Raw genomic sequence first — 23,450 nt, forward strand, 5'->3', positions numbered from 1 at the left:
AATCCAGTCTATCATTGTTGGACATTTGGGTTGGTTCCAAGTCTTTGCTATTGTGAATAGTGCTGCAATAAACATACGTCTGCATGTGTCTTTATAGCAGCATGATTTATAGTCCTTTGGGTATATACCCAGTAATGGGATGGCTGGGTCAAATGGTAATTCTAGTTCTAGATCCCTGAGGAATCTCCACACTGACTTCCACAATGGTTGAACTAGTTTACAGTCCCACCAACAGTGTAAAAGTGTTCCTATTTCTCCACATCCTCTCCAGCACCTGTTGTTTCCTGACTTTTTAATGATTGCCATTCTAACTGGTGTGAGGTAGTATCTCATTGTGGTTTTGATTTGCATTTCTCTGATGGCCAGTGATGGTGAGCATTTTTTCATGTGTTTTTTGGCTGCATAAATGTCTTCTTTTGAGAAGTGTCTGTTCATATCCTTCGCCCACTTTTTGATGGGGTTGTTTGTTTTTTCTTGTAAATTTGTTTGAGTTCATTGTAGATTCTGGATATTAGCCCTTTGTCAGATGAGTAGGTTGCAAAAATTTTCTCCCATTCTGTAGGTTGCCTGTTCACTCTCATGGTAGTTTCTTTTGCTGTGCAGAAGCTCTTTAGTTTAATTAGATCCCATTTGTCAATTTTGGCTTTTGTTGCCATTGCTTTTGGTGTTTTAGACATGAAGTCCTTGCCCATGCCTATGTCCTGAATGGTAATGCCTAGGTTTTCTTCTAGGGTTTTTATGGTTGTAGGTCTAATGTTTAAGTATTTAATCCATCTTGAATTAATTTTTGTATAAGGTGTAAGGAAGGGATCCAGTTTCAGCTTTCTACATATGGCTAGCCAGTTTTCCCAGCACCATTTATTAAATAGGGAATCCTTTCCCCATTGCTTGTTTTTCTCAGGTTTGTCAAAGATCCGATAGTTGTAGATATGCGGCATTATTTCTGAGGGCTCTGTTCTGTTCCAGATCTGTATCTCTGTTTTGGTACCAGTACCATGCTGTTTTGGTGACTGTAGCCTTGTAGTATAGTTTGAAGTCAGATAGCGTGATGCCTCCAGCTTTGTTCTTTTGGCTTAGGATTGACTTGGCAAGGCGGGCTCTTTTTTGGTTCCATATGAACTTTAAACTAGTTTTTTCCAATACTGTGAAGAAAGTCATTGGTAGCTTGATGGAGATGGCATTGAATCTATAAATTACCTTGGGCAGTATGGCCATTTTCATGATATTGATTCTTCCTACCCATGAGCATGGAATGTTCTTCCATTTCTTTGTATCCTCTTTTATTTCATTGAGCAGTGGTTTGTAGTTCTCCTTGAAGAGGTCCTTCACGTCCCTTGTAAGTTAGATTCCTAGGTATTTTATTCTCTTTGAAGCAATTGTGAATGGGAGTTCACTCATGATTTGGCTCTCTGTTTGTCTGTTATTGGTGTATAAGAATGCTTGTGATTTTTGTACATTGATTTTGTATCCTGAGACTTTGCTGAAGTTGCTTATCAGCTTAAGGAGATTTTGGGCTGAGACAATGGGGTTTTCTAGATATACAATCATGTCATCTGCAAACAGGGACAATTTGACTTCCTCTTTTCCTAATTGAATACCCTTTATTTCCTTCTCCTGCCTAATTGCCCTGGCCAGAACTTCCAACACTATGTTGAATAGGAGTGGTGAGAGAGGGCATCCCTGTCTTGTAGGCACACTAATCTCTAGGCACAATGCCAGCCTGGCTAAGTGTTGAAGGATTTCCCTAGCACAGAGAAATCTGCAAAGACTGAGAGAGATGTTTGGGGTATTTTTGTTTTTCTTATTTGTTTGTTGTTGTTGTTTTGTTTTTAGCTCATGGCATTCAAGGAATTATCTGTCAAAACATTAGCCAAACACAGGCTAAAGGATCAGAGACTTCAGTGATCACACAAGACAATGAATACAATCTTTGAGAAAGTTACTAAACAAAGAAGTATACACCCTTCAACAACTAAAAAAAAACAGCAGCCTCTGGGGAAGGAAGACAATATGTTTTCTAGAGTTAACACATTATAATATTCAGAAGTCCTTTTTTAAAAAAGGACACAAAGAAACAAGAAAACATGGCCCATTCAAAGGAACAAAGTAAATTTACACAAACCATGCCTAAGGAAGCCCAGGCATCAGACTTACTAGATAACAACTTTAAAACAACTGTCTTAAATATGCTGAAAGTGGTAAAGGAAGACATGGACAAAGAACTAAAGAAAATTGGGGAAATTATACATAAACAAAATGAGAAAATCAATAAAAAGATTAACATTAATTTTTAAAAGAAGCAAACAGAAATTCTGGGGCTAAAAAGTACAATAACAAAATGAAAAATTCATTAGGGGGTTAAAGAGCAGATTTGAACAGACAGAAGACAGTGAACTTAAAGATAGGACAACTGAAATTATCAAGTCTGAGAATCAGAAAGAAAAGAGAAAGATGAAAAGTGAACAGAACCTAAATGACCTATGAGATACCATCAAGCAGACTAACATACTCATTATGAGTGTTCCAGAAGGAGAAGAGAGAGATAAAGGGGAAGAAGAATATTTGAAGAAATAGTGGCTAAAAACTTCCCAAATTTGATGAAAGACATGAAATTAAAATCCAAAGAGTTCAGTGAACTCCAAGTAAGATAAACTCAGAGACCCATACAGAGATCCTTTATAATCAAACTACTGAAAGACAAAGACAAAGAAAGAATCTTAAAGGCATAAAGAAAGAAGGAACTTGTCATGTACAAGGGATTCCCAATGCATTGGTTTACTGGGAGTGTCATAACAGAATACCACAAATTGGGTGGCTTGAGCAATAGAAATGATTTGTCTCACAGTCTGGAAGATAGAAATCTGAAATGGAGGTGTCAGTAAGGCTGGTTCCTTGTAAGGACTTTGAGAGAAGGATTTGTTACAAGCCTATCTCTTTGGCTTATAGATTGCCATCTTCTCCCTATGTCTCTTCACACAATCTTCCCTCTATATATGTTTATCTCAGTGACCAAATTTTCCCATTCTATAGGGATGCAAGTCATATTGGATTAGGGCCCACCCTAATGAATTCATCTTAACCAATTATATCAGCAATGACTCTATCTCCAAATAAGTTCACAAGTTCACATTCTGAAGTACTGTGTGTCAGGACTTCAACATATGAATTTTTTGAGACACAATTCAACACTTGATACTCAATACGACTTTTTTTTTTTTTTTGGAGATGGGGGTCTCACTTTGTCACCCAGGCTGGAGCGCAGTGGCACAATCTTAGCTCACTGCAACCTCTGCCTCTTGGGTTCAAGCGATTCTCATGCCTCAGCCTCTAGAGTGGCGCCCACCACCACACCTAGCAAATTTTTGTAGTTTTAGTAGAGACGGGGTTTCACCATATTGGCCAATCTGGTCTCAAACTCCTGACCTCAAGTGTCCCACCTGCCTCAACCTCCCAAAGTGCTGGGATTACAGGCGTGAGCCACCGCACCCAGCCATCAATAAGATTCGACATCCAATTTGTCATCAGAAATCAAGGCAGAAAGCAGTGGGACGACATATTTCAAGTGCTGGAAAAAAAAAACTAAAAAACTCAAGAGTTCTAAATCCAGCAATACTGTCCTTTTTCAAAAGAGAGAGCCATTGTGTTAAATGAAAAAAGCCAGTCACCAAGGACAAATATTGTATGATTCTGCTTATCTAAGATACCTAAAGTCATCAAAATCATAGAGACAGAAAGTAGGATGGTGGTTTCCAAGAGCCGGGGGGAGAGGAAAATGGAGAGTTATTGTTTAACAGGTACAGAGTTTCAGTTTGGGAAGATTAAAATGTTCTCAAGATGGAGGGTGGTGAAGGCTGCACAGCAATATGAATGTACTTAAGGCCACTGAACAATACACTTAAAAATAGTTTAAAATGTAGAGTTTAGGTTATATAAATTTTACCACAACTTTTAAAAAGAGAAATTAAGATATGCTTAGATAAACAAAAGCTGAGTGCATTTCTTACCACTAGATCTTCTCTGTAAGAAATGCCAAAGGGAGCCCTTCAGATTGAAATGAAAGGACACTACACATTAACTCAAAGCTGCATGAAGGAATAAATGCAAAGGTAACTACACGGGCAAACATAAAAGCCATTCTTGAATTTTTAGTTTATAACTCTACTTTTATTTTTTACATAATTTAAAAAACACATGCATTTTTAATTATAAATCTATTTTAATTGGCACATAATTGACAAAGATGTGATTTGTCATAATAACATAAACAAGGAAATAAAGCTATATAGGAGCATAGTTGTGTATGCTGTTGAAGTTGGTATCAGTTCTAATTAGATTGTTATAAATTTAGGATGTTAAGTGTAATCCTGAGGGTAACCACAAAGAAAATATCCAAGGAATATACACAAAAGGAAATTAAAAGGGAATCAAAGTGTTTCACTACCAAAAAAAATCAACTAAACACAAAAGAAGCCATTAATAGAGAAAATGAGGGACAAAAAAGTAATTAACAGACATACTGAAAACAAATAGTAAAATGGTACAAGTAAGTATATTCTTATCAATAATTACTTTAAATGTAAATGGGTTAAACTATAAATAGTAAAATGGCAGAAGTAAGTATATTCTTATCAATAATTATTTTAAATGTAAATGGGTTAAACTATAAACAGTAAAATGGCCAAAGTAAGTATATTCTTATCAATAATAACTTTAAATGTAAATGTGTTAAACTATAAATAGTAAAGTTGCAAAAGTAAGTATATTCTTATCAATAACTACTTTAAATGTAAATGGGTTAAACTCTCCAACCAAAGACAGGGGCTGGAGTAATAAATTTTACAAAACATGATTCAAGGTAAATGACTCATTTTACATCCAAAGATATAAGTAGCTCAAAAGTGAAAGGATGGAAAAAGATATTCCAGACAAATCATAATCAAAAAAGAAGTGGGGTGGCTATAATACTATTTTTTAAATTGACTGTAAGTCAAAACTGTAAGAAGAGATAAAGTTTCATTGTACATAAATTTTAAAGGGTCAATCCAGTGACCTGGGTTTCTACTTTAAGAATTTGTCTTAAGAAGACCAAATTAAACCCAAAGTAAATAGAATAAAGGAAATAATAAATATCAAAGCAAAAAAAATGATAAAATAGAAAACAGAAAAACAATAGGAAAATCAAGGAAACCAAAAGCTGGCTTTTCTTCAAAGATCAATAGTATTAATAAACCTCTAGCCACACTGATCAAGATAAAACAAAAAGACATAAATTACCAATATCAGAAATAAAAGAGATGATATTACTACAGATACTACAGGTATTAAAAAGATAATAAGGACATATTATGAATAAGAATAAACTCATCAGCATAGATAGAATGGACCAATTCCTTGAAAGACACAAACTACTAATGCTCACTCAAGAAGAAACAGATAACCTGACTAGCCTTATTATCTATGAAGGAAATGGAATTTGAAGTTAAGAACTATCCAACATGGAAAACTCTAGGCCCTGATGGCCTCACTGATGAATTCTACCACATGTTTAAGAAAGAAATGATACCAATTCTACATAGCTTCTCCAGAAAACTGTAAAGGAATGAATACTTCCCAATTTGTTCTATTAGGACAAAATTACCACCATAACAAAACCAAAGACGTTACAAGAAATAATAATAACAAACCACATGTGTAATGGACTGAATGTTTGTGTTCCCCCAAAATTCACATGTTGAAGTACTACCCCTAATGTGATGGTATCAGGAGGTGGGATCTTTGGAAGGAAATTGGGTCATGAGGGTGGAGCTCTCATGAATGTTATGAATTCTTTATAAAAGGAACCCTAGAGAGCTCTCTTGCCCTCTTTCCACCATGGAAAGGTACCACAAGAAGTCAGCAGTCTACAACTCAGAAGAGGGCCCTCATCAGTGCTGGACCATATTGGTATCCCCCTCAGACCTCCAGCCTCCAGAACTGTAAGAAATCAATTTCTGTTACTGATAAGCTTCCAGTTGACAGTACTTTGTTATAGCAGCCTTATAAACGAAGATAACCTGCCAATATCCCTCATGAATTTAGATGCAAAAACTTTAGCAAATCAAATCCAACAATATATAAAAATGATAATACATCACGACTAAGTAAGATTTAACATTTAACTTAACATTTGCAATCAAATCACCATATCACCAAGCCCAAAAAGAAACACATATGATCATCTCATTGAACATGGTAAAGGCATTTGACTATTCCGAAATCAATCCTAATAAAAATTCTCAGCAAACTAGGCATAGAAAGGAACTTCTTGATTTGATAAAGAACATTTATAAAAACCTACAGCTAACATCATATTTAGTGTTGAAAGACTGAATAGGATGGTTTCCTCCTAAGATCAGAAAAAAGGATGTTCACTGTCATCACTTCTAACATTTTACAAGAATTTCCAGCCATTGCAATAAAGTAAGAAAATGAAATAAAAATCATCCAAATTGGGAAAAAGCAAAACTGTCTTTCTTCACAGGTGACATTATCATTTACTTAGAAAATTTGATGGAATCTACCCTTTAAAAAAAGGCACTAAAACCAATAAGTAAGTTTAGCAACATTGCTAGATATTAATATACAGGCTGGGTGCAGCAGCTCATGCCTCTAATCTCAGTGCTTTGGGAGCGACAGACAAGAGATCACTTGAGGCCAGGAGTTTGAGACCAGCCTGGGCAACATAACAAGATCTCATCTCTTCCACAAATTTAAAAATTAGCCAGGCATAGTGGTGCACATCTTTACTCGCAGCTACCCAGGAGGCTGAGATGGGAAGATTGCTTGAGCCCAGGAGGTCAAGGCTACAGTGAGCTATGATTGTGCTCCAGCCTGGGCAACAGAGCTAGACCCTGTCTCTAAAAATAAATTCAAATAAAATTAAAGATCAATATATAAAACTCAATTGTATATTACAAATTTAAAATTTTAAAAATATGATTCACAATAGCATCAAAAATAGAGTATTTAGGGACTAGTCTGACAAAATTTCCACCATGACAACTTATCCTTCATCTTCTCCCTCCTCTACTTGCTGCTCCTTCAATGATTCCTTGTTCTTCATTTCAGGAGCACAGTCAATGCCAAACTCAACAAGCTCCTCAGTATGGCCAGTAGATTCAGAATAGCAATGGTATCACTTGCAAAGAGAGTTTTAATAGTTAACATGGAGACATTCATTATGGAGAACCCTTGTGAAAGCAGGAGGAGCAAAGCCCTCCTAAGTCATTGTAGCAGGGGCTGAGTGGCTTCCACCTCTCCTCCCTTCATTTATTTTACAAAAGCTTTCATCATGCCTTTCCCTATGGAATCAAGCCCAGACTCTTCAGCACAGCTTTCAAGGCCATGACCTGGCCCCCTACCTACTTTTCCAATGTTCTTTCCCCTAACCTCCTTTCACTGACCCTTTCTGCCAGCTAACTGGATTCACTGCTCCCCATACCTCCTCTATAGTTTCCCCTGTCAGTGCATAACATATCCATGTATTTTCTCTCCCCCATTTTCCCTTCCTCCTTCTTTCCTTTTATAGCTCATTCTCCAGCCTCGATTACTCTTCCTTCTGCTCACATCCAAATCCTTCTCAACCCTTACAGACAGGCTGAAAATACCTGCTTTTCTAAGAAGCGCTCCCTGATTCTACCAACCATGGGGATCACCCTTCCTCTGAACCTCGCCTGGAGCCAGGGGCATTTTCCCTTTGGGACTTGTTCCTTGTCTAATTCCTGTACTGACTGAGAATGCAATAGGGAGGGGGCAGAGCCTACATCTGGCTCATCTATACAACCCAAAGCACCTCCATCAGGGCCTGGCACAGCAAAAGAAACCATTGGTAAGTGTTGGAAGAGGGGGGAGGAAGTGGCTTCATCTGGAAAAAGGAAGGAAATGGAACACTTGGATAAAGAGAGGCAAGAAATGGTGTGGTGAGGGAAAGGCATCTTTCATTTACTTCCTGCCTGACGCTGAGCTGCTGGGATTGCAGAGGAGATTGAGGTGCACAGCAGAGCTGCACCTATTGCAGCCAGTGGCTGCAGAGGGGTTATGGGGTACAGCAAGGTGGGCTGGCTCTTCAGGGAGAATTTCTCACCAGAGCTGTCCTGGGCTAGAGGAAAACTGTAACATTTCTGCTGCCTCATCTACCCTTCTCTCCTACCCACTGGGCAGGCGGTTGTGCCTAACCTTGGCTTATTTGGAGTTCATCTGAAAATCAGCATGGGGAACTATGGCCAAAAGCAACTTTGTTGTTCATGAGATCTTCCAAATTCAGGAGAGCCATGCCCAACAGTTACAGAAAGGAAGCAGGTGCTCTGGGCTCCTGTTGCCCACAGACCCATGGCCTGAGGCCTAGGACAGTAGTCCTAGGCCTTCATTGGGCATCAGGATCAGCTGGGGAGGTTTTTTAAAATGTAGATGCCCATGTCCCATCTCCAGAAATGCAATTTCAATTGATCAGAGCTTGAGCACACTTTAAAAGCTCTCCCAGATGATTCTGCTGGGCAGCCAGGTTGAGACCCTGGCCTGGGAAGGACTCCTTCCTCCAGCCCACAGTTGTTCTAGGATGGGGGTAGAGCACTGCTCAGGGAGGGGGCCTCCTGCCTTCTGTAAGGTCTGCTTAAATGCCACTCCTTCCCATACTCCTCAGTGGAAAGCACAATAGCCCAGTGGTTAGGTTCAGACAGACACTGGCATCCAGTCATCTGGGTTTGCATCCCCATCCCACAGAGTGGCGCCTTGGACAAGTGATTCCACCACTTAGAACCTTGGTTTGCTCATCTGCAAACTGGGAAGACCATTCTCAGCTTGCATGGCTACTGGAAGAATGAAATGGGAAAGTGAATTCATGAAGCCCCTGCAAATCCTAGCATACAGCAGATGTTCAAGCAGTGCCCTCCTGCTCCCATCCCAGCCTCCAAAGGTAGAGGCAGGAGGCTTGGGTGTCCCTCTCTCTCCCTGGGTGACTTGGGCAAATCATTGGACCTCTCTGGGCCTCAGTTGCCTCATCTGTAAAATGCAGAAAACCACAGCAGGAGCCGAGCCTTTGTTTTCTTCACTCCACCAGGGAAATCAGAGGCAGGGAGTTTTCAGAGCACAGCCCTTCCATGGATCCAGGTGCCGGCTGAGCCTGTCCTCACAGGGGATCCGTGGTCCATCTCAGGGAACAGTTCAAAGAGTGCAATTCCCCAGCAAGCTCTTGAATCCTCATCAGCCCAGGAAAAAAAGGGGCTGTACTGGAGCAAGTTTGCATGTAAGTAAAGAGCGACCATGAGCAGCAAGACCATTTAAGCATGGCAGTACCCAAGGGTGGGCACGGAGGGCTCTTCCCAGGGAGTTACAGAGAGTGCTGGCCTCTATCACTAGACACCCCCTAAATTCAGGGATTGTGGCCCTTCCCTGGGGGCTCCCCTCCCACATCCTCTGAGCCCCCCACTGCCATGGCCCAAGGTCAGCCATTATCTCCCTCCTAGATGTCCACACCAGCCCTGCCTCCAACCCATTCTCCACCCTCAGCAGAGAAACCCTCCAAGAGTCATGTCTGTCCATGTCACTCTTGCCACATGTCACTCTGAAGCCAATCAGCAGCAACCCACTTGGCTCACAGTCAAGGCTAACCTCTCCCCGGTGGCATAAGGACCCTTCACAGTCAGGGCCAGGCCTCTGCCCACCAGTGCACCCTTACCCCTGCCATCCCCTACACCTTCTGAACTGCTCTCACTTCCTCTAAGACACCAGCCCCCTACCCTAGGCACCTATCTGCCTGTCCATGTGCCCTCATGGCCTGGAATGCCCTCCCTGCCCTGCTGTGTGCCTGGCCAACTCCTCCAGCTCATCCTCCAAGGCTCTGCTTTGGCACCATCTCCTCCAGGTAGTCCTCCCTGGAGATTCCTCCCCACATAGGGTTAGGAGACTCTCCTCTGGAAAAGCCCAGCCCCCACACTATCCCTTCCTCTGTGCTATTTGCACAGGTTGGGGAGGGGGAAGGGAGGACTCAGACCTCCTCAAGATAGCACCCAGGCCTTTCACCTCATTCAGCTCCCCACATGTGGTGAGGGGCCCCAGTATCTAGCCCACTGCCTGGCTGGAAGGAAGGATTCAGCAGGACCAAGCAGATTTTAGTGAAACTGTCCTGCTAGAGAAGGAGGGCCTGGCATCAGGCACTTGGTTGGAAAGAGCTGTGGCTGGGTAGCTTGCCCACATGACACACACACACACACCTGCCCTTACACACACATGCACACACACACCTACCCTTACACATGCATACACATATGCAAATAAGGTGTGTACCTGCATACACATATCTGCCCTCACACACACACCTGCACATACAACCTGCCCTTACACACACATCTGTATATACACATCTGCCCTCACACACAACAGCAAATACACACCTGCCCTCATACACACACCTCCATATACACACTGCCCTTGCACACACACCTGCATACACACATCTGCCCTAATACACACACCTGTATATACACATCTGCCCTCACATACAAACCTGCATATACACACCTGTCCTCTCACACACATCTGCACATACACACCTGCCCTCACACACCTGTATATACACACCTGCCCTCACACATCTGCATATACACATCTGCCCTCATACATGCACCTGCATATACACACCTGCCCTCTCACACACACCAGCCCATACACACCTGCCCTCACATACACCTGCATATATACACACCTGCCCTCATACACACACCTGCATATACATACCTGCCCTCACACATACCAGCACCTACACACCTGCCCTCATACGCCTGCATATACACACCTGCCCTCATGCACACACCTGCATACACACATCTGCTCTCACACACATACCTACACATACACACCTGCCCTCATACACACACCTGCATATATACACCTGTCTTCAATCTGCCTTCACACACACACCTGCACACAACACATCTGCCATCACACACACTTGCACACACATTCACCCCTACACACACACAGCCCACCCTTGTCTGGTCATTGCTGCATTTTCAATTACAAATGGAGGCTCCTCTAGCAGCTCAGCCACCTCCTAATCAGGCTCTGATTCACTGAAGCACACAGGAACTGAGAGGTTCCATCTCCAAGCCGTGGAGACTACAAATGCTCCTCTGTGAACAAAACCAGAGCACCAGCTCGCAGGACACACCCACTTCCACCACTGCTGAGCTGGGGGCTGCCCTACCACTGCGGAGTTGAACCAGCTCTTCTGCCAGCTCCCAGGTGGGGGCCAACAAAGCTGCTGTGCTCCATCACACAGCCAGGCCTCTCAGAGCAGACCCCAAAGCAGCGAATGTGGGCCTGCCAGGCCACAGGCTCTCAGTATGGCAGTCAAGGCAGGCAGAAAAGCTAAGAGAGCGCCCTCAGTAAACGTGGATGCTGTGGGGAAGGCCACAATGCCATCCACTGTCAGGAGCCAAAATCCCAGGTCAGAGTCTGAGGACGGGGCATAGGGTCGCAGCAGAGGGAGATGGCAGAGTGGGCAGTGGGCACTGTGGTATAGGGGAAGAAAATTGGGCTGTGGCCACTCAGGTCTGGCTCTACCCTGGTCTGCAGAGTGGTTCAGGACAGCCTTGTCACCTCTCGAGCCTCCATGTCAAGACCTAAACCATGGGGACAACAGTAATGGGGTTGCTGGAAGGTACGAGACCATGCCATGCCTCTCCAGCCCACAGGTGGACAGTCCTCCCTCCACAGTGAGGCAGTCAAGAAGAGGAGAGGAGCGAGCCCCCCAACCCACCCCCCATGGCCAGGGACCTTTGCCTCTACCCCTCCTCAGCCCAGGGAAAGCATCCAGAGTGTCCCTGCAAACACCACACCAGCACCAGTAGTGTCAGACTCCACAGCCTATGAGGCCCTGCTTCCCCTGAGCCAGGTGAACATCAGTTGACAGCGATGGCTCTGAAGCCAGACACCCTCTCCCGCCTCTGTCTCAGGCTGCTAGCAGGGACTTCCTGGATGGCATGCTGAGGATCGCCCTGCACATGACACTCATGGTGAAGCCCTGTGGTGACATGCTTGCCTAAACCAAATGTGACATTCTTAATGACCCACAAAGAGGATGCAGCCAGGGAGACTCCAGCCACCGCCTGTCACAGAAACAAAAGGCGCAGCTTCTCATCAACATGCTGTTTAAATGCCCCAGCCCAGGGCCCCTGCCGACTGGGTCAACAACACAGGAACCCTGTGCCACCTCCAAGAGACCAGCACTGTGCCCACCACCTGGCCTGCAGTAATAATAACCATATGTCAGCACGCCCACACAGGGCTTCCAGGATGCCAGACACTGCTCTGAGATATGTACCGGAGATGAGGGCGCAGCTGTAGGTGCTGGTGTTGGCATGGCTGTAGGTCTAGGAATAGGTACAGATTAGATGTAGGAATAGGAATAGGAGTAGAAATAGGTCAAGGCATAGATTCGATATATGGTAAGTCCTTACTTAACATCACTGATAGGACTTTAAGTGAAACAATGTATAATGGAAACCAAATTTTTTTCTCATCAACATTGTAATGAAAAGACGTTTGAGCAAAACCGTATTTGAGAACCTGCTGTACATTGTTTTGCTTAAAGTTTCCAATAACTTATCAACAACATTAAGCAAGAACTTATTGTAGATGTGGGTTTAGGTCTAGAAATTGGTATAAGTATAGGTGAGATGTAGATACAGATATAGATTTAAATTAGATGTCGGGATAGGGATAGGGATGGGGATAGGGATACGTTAGATGTAGGCTGTAGGTGTAGGTATAAGTAGAGGTTAGAGGTAGCCTGTAGGTATAGGTATAGGTAGAGAGAGGTATAGATGAGGCATAGATATAGGTGCATAGGTATATAGAAGTGTAGATGTATAGTTATAGGATCATCTTGTTCCTCACCACAACCCTATAAAGGGACAGATATTTACAGATGAGGAAACAAGCATGACGGTGAGCCTGGACCAACCCAGCACTGACCTGAGTGCTGTGCCTTTATTGAGGACCCAGGAAGGACGCCTGAGGGAGCAGCCTGTGTCTCCGTGGGTGGAGATGAGACCATCTCCATGGCTCCTTCGTCAGCAAAAGATTCCACACTTGGGCATCTTTCCCTTCCCTGCCTTTTTACTAGGTTTGGGGGAACCACCATGGGCTCCACGAATTCCCTGCGTCCTCCCACGAGTGAGGCCACGAGAAGCCAGGCAGGAATTTGCAGTACAGGATGCGCTCCACAAATGGCTTCTCCGTGGCATCACGAGGCAGATAGGAAACACTTCTCAGTGGCTCAGCAAATTGTCAAGATCCTGGAATCAGGTCAGATAGAGGCAGGATTTCATCATAGTCCTGCCCTGCCATGTGACCGTGAGGGAGTTACCTGCCTTCTGCACCTCACTTTCTCATCTGTAAAATGGGACAACAACGGTACCTACCCCAGGGGCAGAGCCTGACAGCTCTCCGCTCTGGGCGCCGGCAGGGTTGACAGCTATCTACTGTGAGTGGGAAGAAGTCAGCACCCATGCAGAAAACCAGAGGAGCAGAAATCAGGGCCCTCAAGACCCATCCCAGCAGAAAGCCCACTGTGGTATGACCACCACTGCCTGGGCACCTGCAAGATCCTGGGCCACAGACATGGCCACCTGGTGTTGCTCCTATGAGCCATGCTCTTATAGGCTGGTCAGGGAGGCAGACACGTGACTCCAGGCAGTTCCGTAGGGACTTGAGGAGCACAGCAGAGCAGGACCCTAAAGGCTGAGAAGGTGAGGTCCAGAAGGATGCACAGGACAGCTCTGGAGGCACGGAAGTAGATGGAATGCCTGGGCACAGGAGGTCCCGTGGGGAAGGAGCTGCAGGTGAGGCTGGGGTAGAAACAGGACCAGACAGAAAGCAACCTTGTCATATGAGAAGCCTGAACTGCAGTCCCCAAATTCCCCCCTGTATCCCTGAGGGACTGGAAGTTCCTCTGAGTCAGGTCATTGACTCAATTCTCTCGTAACTAAAAGTTGGGTGCCTACCTCAAAGCAAGAGATAATCAGGGGAGAGCCCTGGGCACCATTCCTGGTCCCAGTAACGCACCACTTAACTAAAAGCAGCTGCTGCTATTGTTTTACCAAGTGTCTTCTGCAACAGAGAAAAAAAATGAAAATGAACTACTGCACAGTGCTTGCACTGGCACCCTGGATCAAATGGGCTTGTGCACCAGGACCAGTCCTGACATCTCAATACTCAGGCCAACCTGCCACGTTGGGTCCTTACTTCCTAGCCCCAGCCCTGACCACAACCATCAGAGTCCACAGGAGAGGGCTGGTTGTGCCCCTCCACAGAGCCTTCCCTGAACAGGTGACCGCGTATCCTCGTTTGCCCAGCACAGCCGTTGCACCTGTTCTTTAGTGAAATTATTAATTTCACTTTAAAAAGTTTCACAGTTTAAATGGTTTCTCGGTGGTCAGCCTAACTTCTGAGCCACATGGTTTCAGCCCAAAATTCCTGTTGCCAGAGATTTTCTGTGGTTTCCTAGACACTCATATCTAGGATGGCAGAAGGTGGCTGGCATCAGGATCACTAGAGGATGTACCCACAAGACTCCAGGAAATTGCTCCTTAGCCAATAAGGGTCTCTTCCTCCAGCTCCACATGCTCCATGCAGGCCTAGCACCACCCTTCAAGCCTGCCCAGCCCCTGCCATGCTCTGCCTCCACCAAAGATGCTTGTTGCAGAGTTGTACCATTGCCTCCTGGGGAAAAGGCAGCAGGAAGATGCCAGGCTGCCCGGCAGAAGCTGAGTCTATGGGCACAAAGTGAGGGCAGAGACTCACATCTGCCCACCTGCCACATTCCCCACAAGTCAGGATCTCACTGGCCACGAACCTGTTCACCTGCGAGAGCAGAGTTCAGCAGCGAACACCAAGAGTCCCTCATGTCTCCTGAACAGTAACTCCTCAGCTGGAGCGTTCAGGCATGGCTGACCAAGAACATCCCCAGGGAGCCTGGGAGAGCCCACAGTCTCCAGTCTCCAGAGACAATAACGGCACCTGCTGTTTGGACAGTGTGTGATCAGTTACAGTTTTGAGGGAGGGGGTTCTCTCTGGCAATGTTCATTCAGCTTAATATGCCTACAAGTAAGGCTTTTAGGAAGCAACCACACTGCTATTCTAGAATGTGGTCAACATCCACTTCAGCAACTTGGTCTTCAGTTGACTCAGAAACCAGAAACAAGGTGGAACTCTGTGAGAACCCAGGAGTCCTGCTGAACAGCCGTGCTTGCCTCTCGGTTGCGTTCTGGGGGAAAAGTAGCTTAGTTATGTTGGAGCCTCCTCAAAGCAGCACCTGGGTCTCTGGGTTCCCTCTCAAACATCACCATTATCACCCCAAACCTCAAAGCGGCAGCACTCAAATTGCCAGATAATGTCAATCTGACAGTGGGTGGCCGTCACCTCTTCTTCAGTGTGCAGAGACGGCCAGAGCGCTTCTATGAGCAGGGCCGACTGGCTATGCCAGCCTCATGAACACAGCAGGCAGCGCAGGCACCAAGACACCCCACACAAGCATGGGGTGAAGGCTGCAGGAGAACAGAGGCCCCACCACTCCCCAGCACTTAGTGGCCTCCTGCTCAGCAATAGGACATGGCCCTGGACACAGCTCACCCCACCATGTCTGTCCAGGCTTCTATGTGAACAAAAATATGTGTAGACACCACTGTTCTGCCTCCCATGCCTCTTCTCCCACTGGGCCCCAAGAGCACAGTCACTAGAGCTACACACTTGAAAGATGGACTCAGAAGATCCCTGTCACTCAAGGTTGGCAGACCAATGGACCCCCAGTGCTGGTTGGGAGAGACACAGTGAGGCCCAAAGCATCCTCAACTCTCAAACTGTCTAATGAAGACCAATTAATGCCCAGGAACATCAGCCCCAGCCATGAAAAACAGAGGGCCCCAAGAAGCATGAAACTGAGTGAGGAAGAGGGGAAGGGCCTGGAGACCACTGCTGGCAAGGTCATCCCTCATGTCATTATCCTAATTGTGAATCCCTGAGAAACAGAACATCGGCCAGCTGAAGCAGTCATCACCCCTTCAGACCCCTCGGCTGCCCTTGGTGATTCAGCACAGGCCAAGCCAAGCTCTGCTACCTCAGCCTCTTCCACCTCTGCTTCCAGGGAACCCAGGATGCTGCCTCTCGGTGGCCCAGCCCCCATGCCCCCAACTGCCCCGTGCCACTCTCCTAACTGCAGTTGGCTTAATCTTTCTAAAATATGGCTCTGATCTCCCCAGCTCCTGCTTACCAAGCTCTAATGGCTCCTGTAGGGGGCAGCCACTCATCCATCCTGCCCAGCCTCCCACCCCGATTTTCTTTTGCAGAGCCTCCTCCCTCTACTCCTAGTCCATGACTTCTAGTGAGCTGGCCAGACACAGTGGCAGCCCACCCCAACGAAACAGAGTGTCCTACTCACCCCAGTTGGTTCAGGGATGGGCAGCCACCCCAGCTGGGCCAATACTATATCCTTAAAGCCTTTGCCTGAGCTTTCCAAACAGGGACTCTTACTTGTGCTGAGACTGTGGACACCAAAGACCAGACAAGCTGGAGTTGTGGTGGTTCCTCTTTGTCATTGGGTGGGAAGGACATTCCTAAGAGTCAAGCCAATGAGAGAAGAAGAGAAACAAGACACCGCGAGGGAGCAAGAAAGAGAAAGCAAGAGCAGAAGGCGTAACCGCTAGATCCAGCCATGCCTGAAGCTAGCCCATCCTTGGACCACTTTGTCATATAAGCTAAAACGAATTCCCTTTTTTACTTAAACAAGTTTAACTGGTATTTTTATCACTTTCAACAAACAGTCCTGATTAATACATCTCCTCATGCCTGCAAAAATAAGTGGACTCAATTATAGATAAATGAATAATTATCCTAAAACATGGAGCCTAATAAAACTAAGAGGAACTGCAAATTGCTCTTGTGAGCACTGAAGAGGCAGTGCCTCATTCTGGCTGAGAGCGTTGGGGTGCTCCTGGGGAGGACACATCAAAGCCATCATTTAAAAGATGTTCCCGGCCAGGTGCGGTGGCTCATACCTGTAATTCCAGCACTTTGGGAGGCCAAGGAGGCAGATCATTTGAGGCCAGGAGTTCGAGGATAGCCTGGCCAACATAGCAAAACTCCATCTCTACTAAAAATAAAAATAAAAAAATTAGCCAAGTGTGGTTGTGCACACCTATATTCCCACCTACTCAGGAGGCTGAGGCAGGAAAATTGCTTAAACCCAGGAGGCAGAGGTTTCAGTGAGCCAAGATCATGACACTGCACTCCAGCCTGGGCAACAGAGCAAGACTCTGTCTCAAAAATAAAATAAAATAAAATAAAATAAAATAAAATATGTTCCAGGTAAGAGAGCCACAAAGATAAAGCATGAAAGACCATGATATGTTTGGGAGAAATAGGAAGTAGTATGAACAATAAGGCAAGAGGCAGTTGTGGAAAGCCAAGAATGAGTCAGCTTGGATCATGAGGTGAGGGTCTTTTCCCGCTGTTAATGAACCTAGGCTTTGTTTAATAGACCAGCAAGAGAGAACACCTCCTCAGGCCACAATGCACCCCTGAAACCCAGGACAGAGAGCTGTCCTGGAGAGGAAGCGGCCCAGGGCAGCAGTGAGATTCTGACAGTCCAGGTCCCAGTCCCTGAAAGGCTCAAAGGGAGGAGCAGCAAAGCTCCAGGTCCCAAGAGCTTCCCAGGACCAGGACAGCTTGTGAAGATCCTGGAAGTCTGCGCTGCTCTGCTCCCAGCAGCTCTGAGCCCCCAGAGAGTGTGGCCACCATGGGCCACAGGCACAAGGCCCAGGGACAAAGCAGAGAAGGGGACCTGTGGCGGGGGGTGGAAAGCAGAGCCCAGAGGGCCTCCAGATCCACAGCGCGGTGCACAGAGCACACAACAAGAGGCAGGAAGGGGATGAGACCCCCACTTTCCATCCCCATTGACCTCCATCCCCACTGACTCCTCGCCCTAGCCTGGCCCTAGACTTTGGCCCAGAGACCGTGTTAGGACCAGGCTAGAGGAAGGGAAGCTGAGGAGCCCAGGGAAAGCAGAAATGAGTCACTCCCAGGGAAGGCACAGGCTGAGTGAGAGGGACTCCCCAACCCCGGGCAGTACCAGGCTCACCCCACAGCAGCCTCGCCAGTACCAGCCCTGCCTCAGCCCAGGGGCACAGCACAAGACTCTCACTCAGCCTTTGGGCTTCAGCACAGGCCATCCACCTCCAGGAAGCCCTCCAGACACCTTCTCCTGAATGTTGGGCTGCCCTGGGCTGCTGTCCCCAACACCACTCTCTCTGTTCATCTCAGCTGGTGCAAGATCACACAGCGCTAAGTCTCTGTTTCTGTGTTGGTTCCCCCACCAAACGGAGAGCTCCGTGGGAATGAGTACCACATCAGCTCATCTCCAAGGCTGATGCAAAGTGACCATTCCATCAATGCTAGCACCATGCCCTGAGCCCATGACACACGGACACAGCACAGCAAGGTCTGGGGCGGGGGCAGGTGGCAGCAATTCAACATGCGGCCCTGATCGAGGGGTTATCATGCCCACCTGACAGAGGAAATCAAGGGCAAGTTACCCAGCCAGGGCCCTTTGAGAAGGACTCAAACCCAGGCCAGTCTGATTCTCAAGCCAGGGCCTATTCCTCTCCTTCACTGTCATCATCACCTGGAGTCTGGGGCTGCCAGCCCTGGAAACCTGAGCAGAGGAGGCACTGGGGCCCACACACAGGGTCAGGGAAGCCCCTCCACAGACACCCTCCAGGTCAGGCCCACGACAGAGGCTGCAGGCTTGTGCAAGAAAAAGCACGCACGCCCCAGCACAGACTCAGGGGAACCTGACCAAGGGGAGAAGCCACAAGGGCGCCACCTCTAGGCTCTGCCTCCAGCCCTGCTTCCTGCTTTGGGAAGGATGGCACATCCGCAGGCCTCAGAGCTGCAGGAAGCTCTTCTTTGCTCACCTGCAAGCTTCATTTCAGGAGATTGTCAGGACTGACAGCAGCCAAGATGCACAGGGTGACATTTCCCTGTTGGGAAAATGGATTCCCCTTTTGCCCTGCAGCCACATGCCCTAGGGAAGCATCACCATGCCGGGAAGAAAGTCTCAGTTCTCAGGAAGAGCAGCTCCTACAGCAATTGTTGGTAAACTGGAGTTGAGCTCACAGATAAGCGTCGCCCCTGGCACCTCCTCTGGTCCCATGGAGCAAACAGCAATCTGCTGCCCTGAGGCTGGGGAGGGGTCCCCCTGTACCTCCCTTCACCCCTGCCTTCCTCCCTCTCTTCAGGGCCAAGGCATTTCCGTGTGTGCATGTGAATGTGAGGAGTGTGGCTGTGTGTGCAAGTGTGGGTGAGTGTGAGTGTGGATGTGGGTGGGTGGGTGCGAGTGTGCGCAGGTGTGAGTGTCGGGAGTGGGTGTGAGTGTGACGGTGTCTGTGGGTGTGTGTATGCAAGTGTGGGTGTGAGTGTGGATGTTAACGTGAGTTTGTGTGGGACTGTATATGTATGAGTGTGTGAGTGTGGCAGATGTGAGTGTGGAATGTAGCTCTGTGAGTGTGGGTGTGAGTGAGGGTGTCTGTGTGAAGAGATGGATGGGGGCAGATGGATGGGCCCTTGTGAAAAGAAAGCCAACTGGGCCTGGACTCTACGAAAATCACAGACCTCAGACTCCCAGAGGCCCTGCTGCAGACCCAGTCTCTCACTCCTGAGCCTGGCACCATGCCCAGCCCAGAGCTGTGTCCTGTGCCCTAGCTGTGCCGGCGCTGCCTCTGCCCAACCCATGTGCCATTGCAGGTTATTGTGGGAGGGTCTCAAGAAGCCCAGGGTCTTCCTCGAGCTCCAACCTTTCCCAGCTTTGTTATCACTCCTTCTTTCTTTCCCTGTGGCCCATGCAGGGCTGCCATGGCTGGGGGGCTACACACTCCAATGCCAGGGAGGGAGAAGGAGCCATCGCCTACCTCCCCATGTCTTTCCCTGGCCCAGGCATGCCAGTCACTGAGACTTGAGGAGAAGGGCCCCCACACTGCTCAGGCCCCTGCAGCTACCCCCACAAGCTGACTATCAAAGCCCCAGAGGAACTTCCTAGCGCCAGCAATGCCTTGGGGATGGGGTAGGCATAGAAGAAGAGCCATTTGATTTGATTACTTGGCTCTGCCAAGCAGAGCCATTTACATGTTAAAGACTTTTTTTGTTATTATTCTGCATATTACATTTCAAACAAAAACCCCAAACCAATCCTCAGAGCAAAGACCCTTTTGTATTCCCCACAAAGCAACCTGCTGCTTCCAGCACCAGGCCCTGGATTCAGGGCTGCAGCATCAGGGAACCTGCATCCACACCAACCTGTCAGCACAGAGACACAGACTCAAACGATAGGGAGGGGTGGGGGAGGAGACACTGCAGCTGGGGTGGAATGCATTCATTCATTCATTCATTCATTCATTCACCACTCATTCCTCCCACAAACGTCGTCAGCGCTGTCTCTGGTCCAGGCACTGTGCTGGGTGCATTTGCACCAGACAAGGATGTCTGTATTCTTGGAGCTAAGGCTCTAGTAAAATTAAAAATGGCTGATGGATAAAAAATAACAATAAGATAATAAATAAAAATTTATTGCAATAAAGTCAAATAAAACATTTTAAGTCAATTCAAAAATATGGCTGAGTGGATGATAGAGTATATTCGCGGGTGATCACTGTTATGGGTAAAACTAAATCGAGGCAGAGGATCAGGAGAGCCTAGTGTAGAAGCTGGAGGAGTATGGAGAGGAGGCTAGGCAGGCCTGGTCAGCACCAGAAAGTGAGGGTAGAGGCTTCACGGAGTCCTGGGGCAAGCTCTGGGGTTGAGTCTCTAAGAGAGGTATACCGGTTCTGGTGAAGGCAAGGAGAACAGCATAAGGTGGCCCAGGGCAGTGAGCCCTGAGGCCTGGGGGAGCAGATGGGCAGCACAAGGCCTGGCGACTCCTGTGTGGACCCTGACTTTTCCTCTAGCGAGATGGGAGCTGTTGGGAGCTTTGATCTGAGTGAGCTGTGTGCACCAGCATCTTTCTGGTGCCATGATGAGAACAGACCAAGTGGGACAGGGCGGAGGCAGGGAGACCTGTCAGGAAGCCATTCCAAGAATCCAGGGGAGAGACGATGGTGGCTTAGCCATGGGGGTGGTCAGTGGGCTGAGCTAGAAGGGTGGGCTCCTGGGGATGGGAAGAGGGGAGAGTGCAGGGGACCCCAAGGCACTGGACCTGAGCACTGGAGGGAGGGCAGATGGAGAAGCCTCACGGGGGCTGGTGTGGGCTGAAGCACCCAGCTTGGGGACATGCTTGTGTAAGAAGCCTATGTCATCCCAGTGGAGAAGCAGTGGACAGAGAATCCAGAGCTAACGAGAGAGGCAAGCTGGCAGGACTGCAAAGTCCTCCATGGGTAGGTGATATTCAAAGGTGTGAGACGGTCAGAAGTCATCAAGAAAAGGAGTACAACAGAAGACAGATGATTAAAGTTGGGGACATGGGACATGCCAGTGTTTTGAGGTCGGGAGATGAGAAGAGCCCAGCAATGGGACTAGGAAGGTGCACCCGCCACAGAGCCAGGAGGAGGGAGGCTGCAGTCCTGAGCCCGGGGAACAGTGGGGGCGGGACAGGTAAGGAAAGGACTGAGATTGGGCCACTGGACCAAGCTACACATAAGTCATGAGAATGCTCATTGGAGCAGCTCTGAGAGTCGTGAGGGCAAATGCCTGACCACAGTGCGCACAGGAGCAATGGAGAGAAAGGCATGGGAGACAGAGCATACAGAACGGCCTTTTCAAGAGCTTCGCTGTAAGTGGGTGGGGGAGCGGCAGAGGAGACGCAGAGGACAGTAGCTGCAGAGGAAGTGGACCAAGCGCAGGAATCTTTAGGGCAGGAGATAACACAGTGTCCTTATGAGCAGATGGAAATAATCCACTAGAGAAGGAAACTTGATGATGAAGGAGAGGAGGGAGAGAACTGCTGGGTGATGGCCTGGAGCAAAGGAGGCGGACGGATGGGATGTAGTGCCCAAGGAAAGGGCGTCTCAGACAGGACATGGGCAGGTCAGCAGTGAGCCCGAGCGTTGTCCAGGACACGGGTGGGTAGGCAGGCAGGTGTGGGGATGGAGCATCGCCATCCACTGCCACCTTCTCTCTCCTCAGTGAACTATATAGGGAACAAAACTCTGCTGCTCGGGGCTGTGGCCAGCATGGAGGAGAGAGGAGGTGTTGCAGATGCGGAAAGAGAGGGGAAGGTCAGACGGAGTGGAGAAAGAATGGCCCGGAGAAACGCGATATGACGGCCAAAACTGGTCACGTGGGTGTTCTTTTTTTTTCCACCCTTAGCTGCAGGTTGGGGTTTTGCCCAGTGCTACTGCAGTTCATACCTGAGCTTGGCTTGGTCATCCATATCCCCAGCATCTAACGACATTCTACGGACACTCAACAGGTATGTGAGAGACAAAAGGACCAGGAGGAAGACACCAATGATGGGTAAACTTCGCCCACCTGGCACCAGCACCAACAAGATCTAGAAAGCACCTGCTCACCTGCACTGTGGAGGGGCAGTTCCTCAGCTGACTCAAACACCTCATCCATCCCCCCTACAGACAGTGTCCCTACCTTCTTGCTCCTCCTGTTGCCAGAGAGGTTTGAGGGGCTTAGCTCAGCTCGGCCCTAGCTAGTGCTACTGGGAAGTGGCCAGTTTCCCCATAGCACTGGCCCCACCAGCCCTGAGTTAACTACAGTGGCTCCCACACCATGGCTGGCAGCCACAGCCCATCTCCAATGTCCCCATACACTCTTCAGGGCATCTGAGAACCAACACTCAGTCCCAGTGGCTCACCGTTAAGTGAAACCATTAGCAAAATTCTGTGACAAGAAGGAAAATGCTATGGTATTATAGAAGAAGCCACTGGAGGCAAAACAGATCATCACTGTGGTTATAGCTGTGCCCAATGTCTGTCTGTTTGAGGACAAGTTCTAGAAAGAACCACAGAAAAATTAAAACCATTTGCTTGTTAAGGTGGTGAGATGGTGGTTCCTCCTTTGTTTTCTTTTTAAATTCTGCAATGCTGTTGCCATCTTGGTTATACAATAAATTAAAAGTATGATTTTAAAAAAATAGGCTGGACACACCTTTAATCCTAGCACTTTGGGAGCCTGAGGCAGGCAGATCACTTGAGATCAGGAGTTCAAGACCAGCCTGGCCAACATAGTGAAACCCCGTCTCTACTAAAAATACAAAAATTAGCTGGGCATGGTGGCATGTGCCTGTAATCTCAGCTGCTTGGGAGGCTGAGGCAGAAGAATCGCTCGAACCCGAGAGACAGATGTTGCAGCGAATCAAGATTGCACCATTGCACTCCAGCCTGGGCAACAGAGGGAGACTCCATCTCAAAAATAAA

At 47.5% G+C, this 23,450-nt stretch overlaps 1 protein-coding gene across 1 annotated transcript in view, besides 2 other annotated features; it reads right to left on the reverse strand.

Annotated features, from left to right (window-relative positions):
* Positions 1 to 23,450, reverse strand: part of GRID1 (glutamate ionotropic receptor delta type subunit 1) — a 767,244-nt gene that overhangs the window by 673,746 nt on the left and 70,048 nt on the right. The window lies entirely within an intron of this gene.
* Positions 18,107 to 18,921: an enhancer, noted in NCBI's record as "H3K27ac-H3K4me1 hESC enhancer chr10:88051161-88051975 (GRCh37/hg19 assembly coordinates)". NCBI's record gives its function as "activates a minimal SCP1, AML or CMV promoter by ChIP-STARR-seq in naive H9 embryonic stem cells {active_cell/tissue: H9 hESC(naive)}" and the evidence as "EXISTENCE:reporter gene assay evidence [ECO:0000049][PMID:30033119]".
* Positions 18,922 to 19,736: an enhancer, noted in NCBI's record as "H3K4me1 hESC enhancer chr10:88051976-88052790 (GRCh37/hg19 assembly coordinates)". NCBI's record gives its function as "activates a minimal SCP1, AML or CMV promoter by ChIP-STARR-seq in naive H9 embryonic stem cells {active_cell/tissue: H9 hESC(naive)}" and the evidence as "EXISTENCE:reporter gene assay evidence [ECO:0000049][PMID:30033119]".

The sequence above is a fragment of the Homo sapiens genome, chromosome 10 (assembly GCF_000001405.40).
Source record: "Homo sapiens chromosome 10, GRCh38.p14 Primary Assembly".
Taxonomy (NCBI): Eukaryota; Metazoa; Chordata; class Mammalia; order Primates; family Hominidae; genus Homo; species Homo sapiens.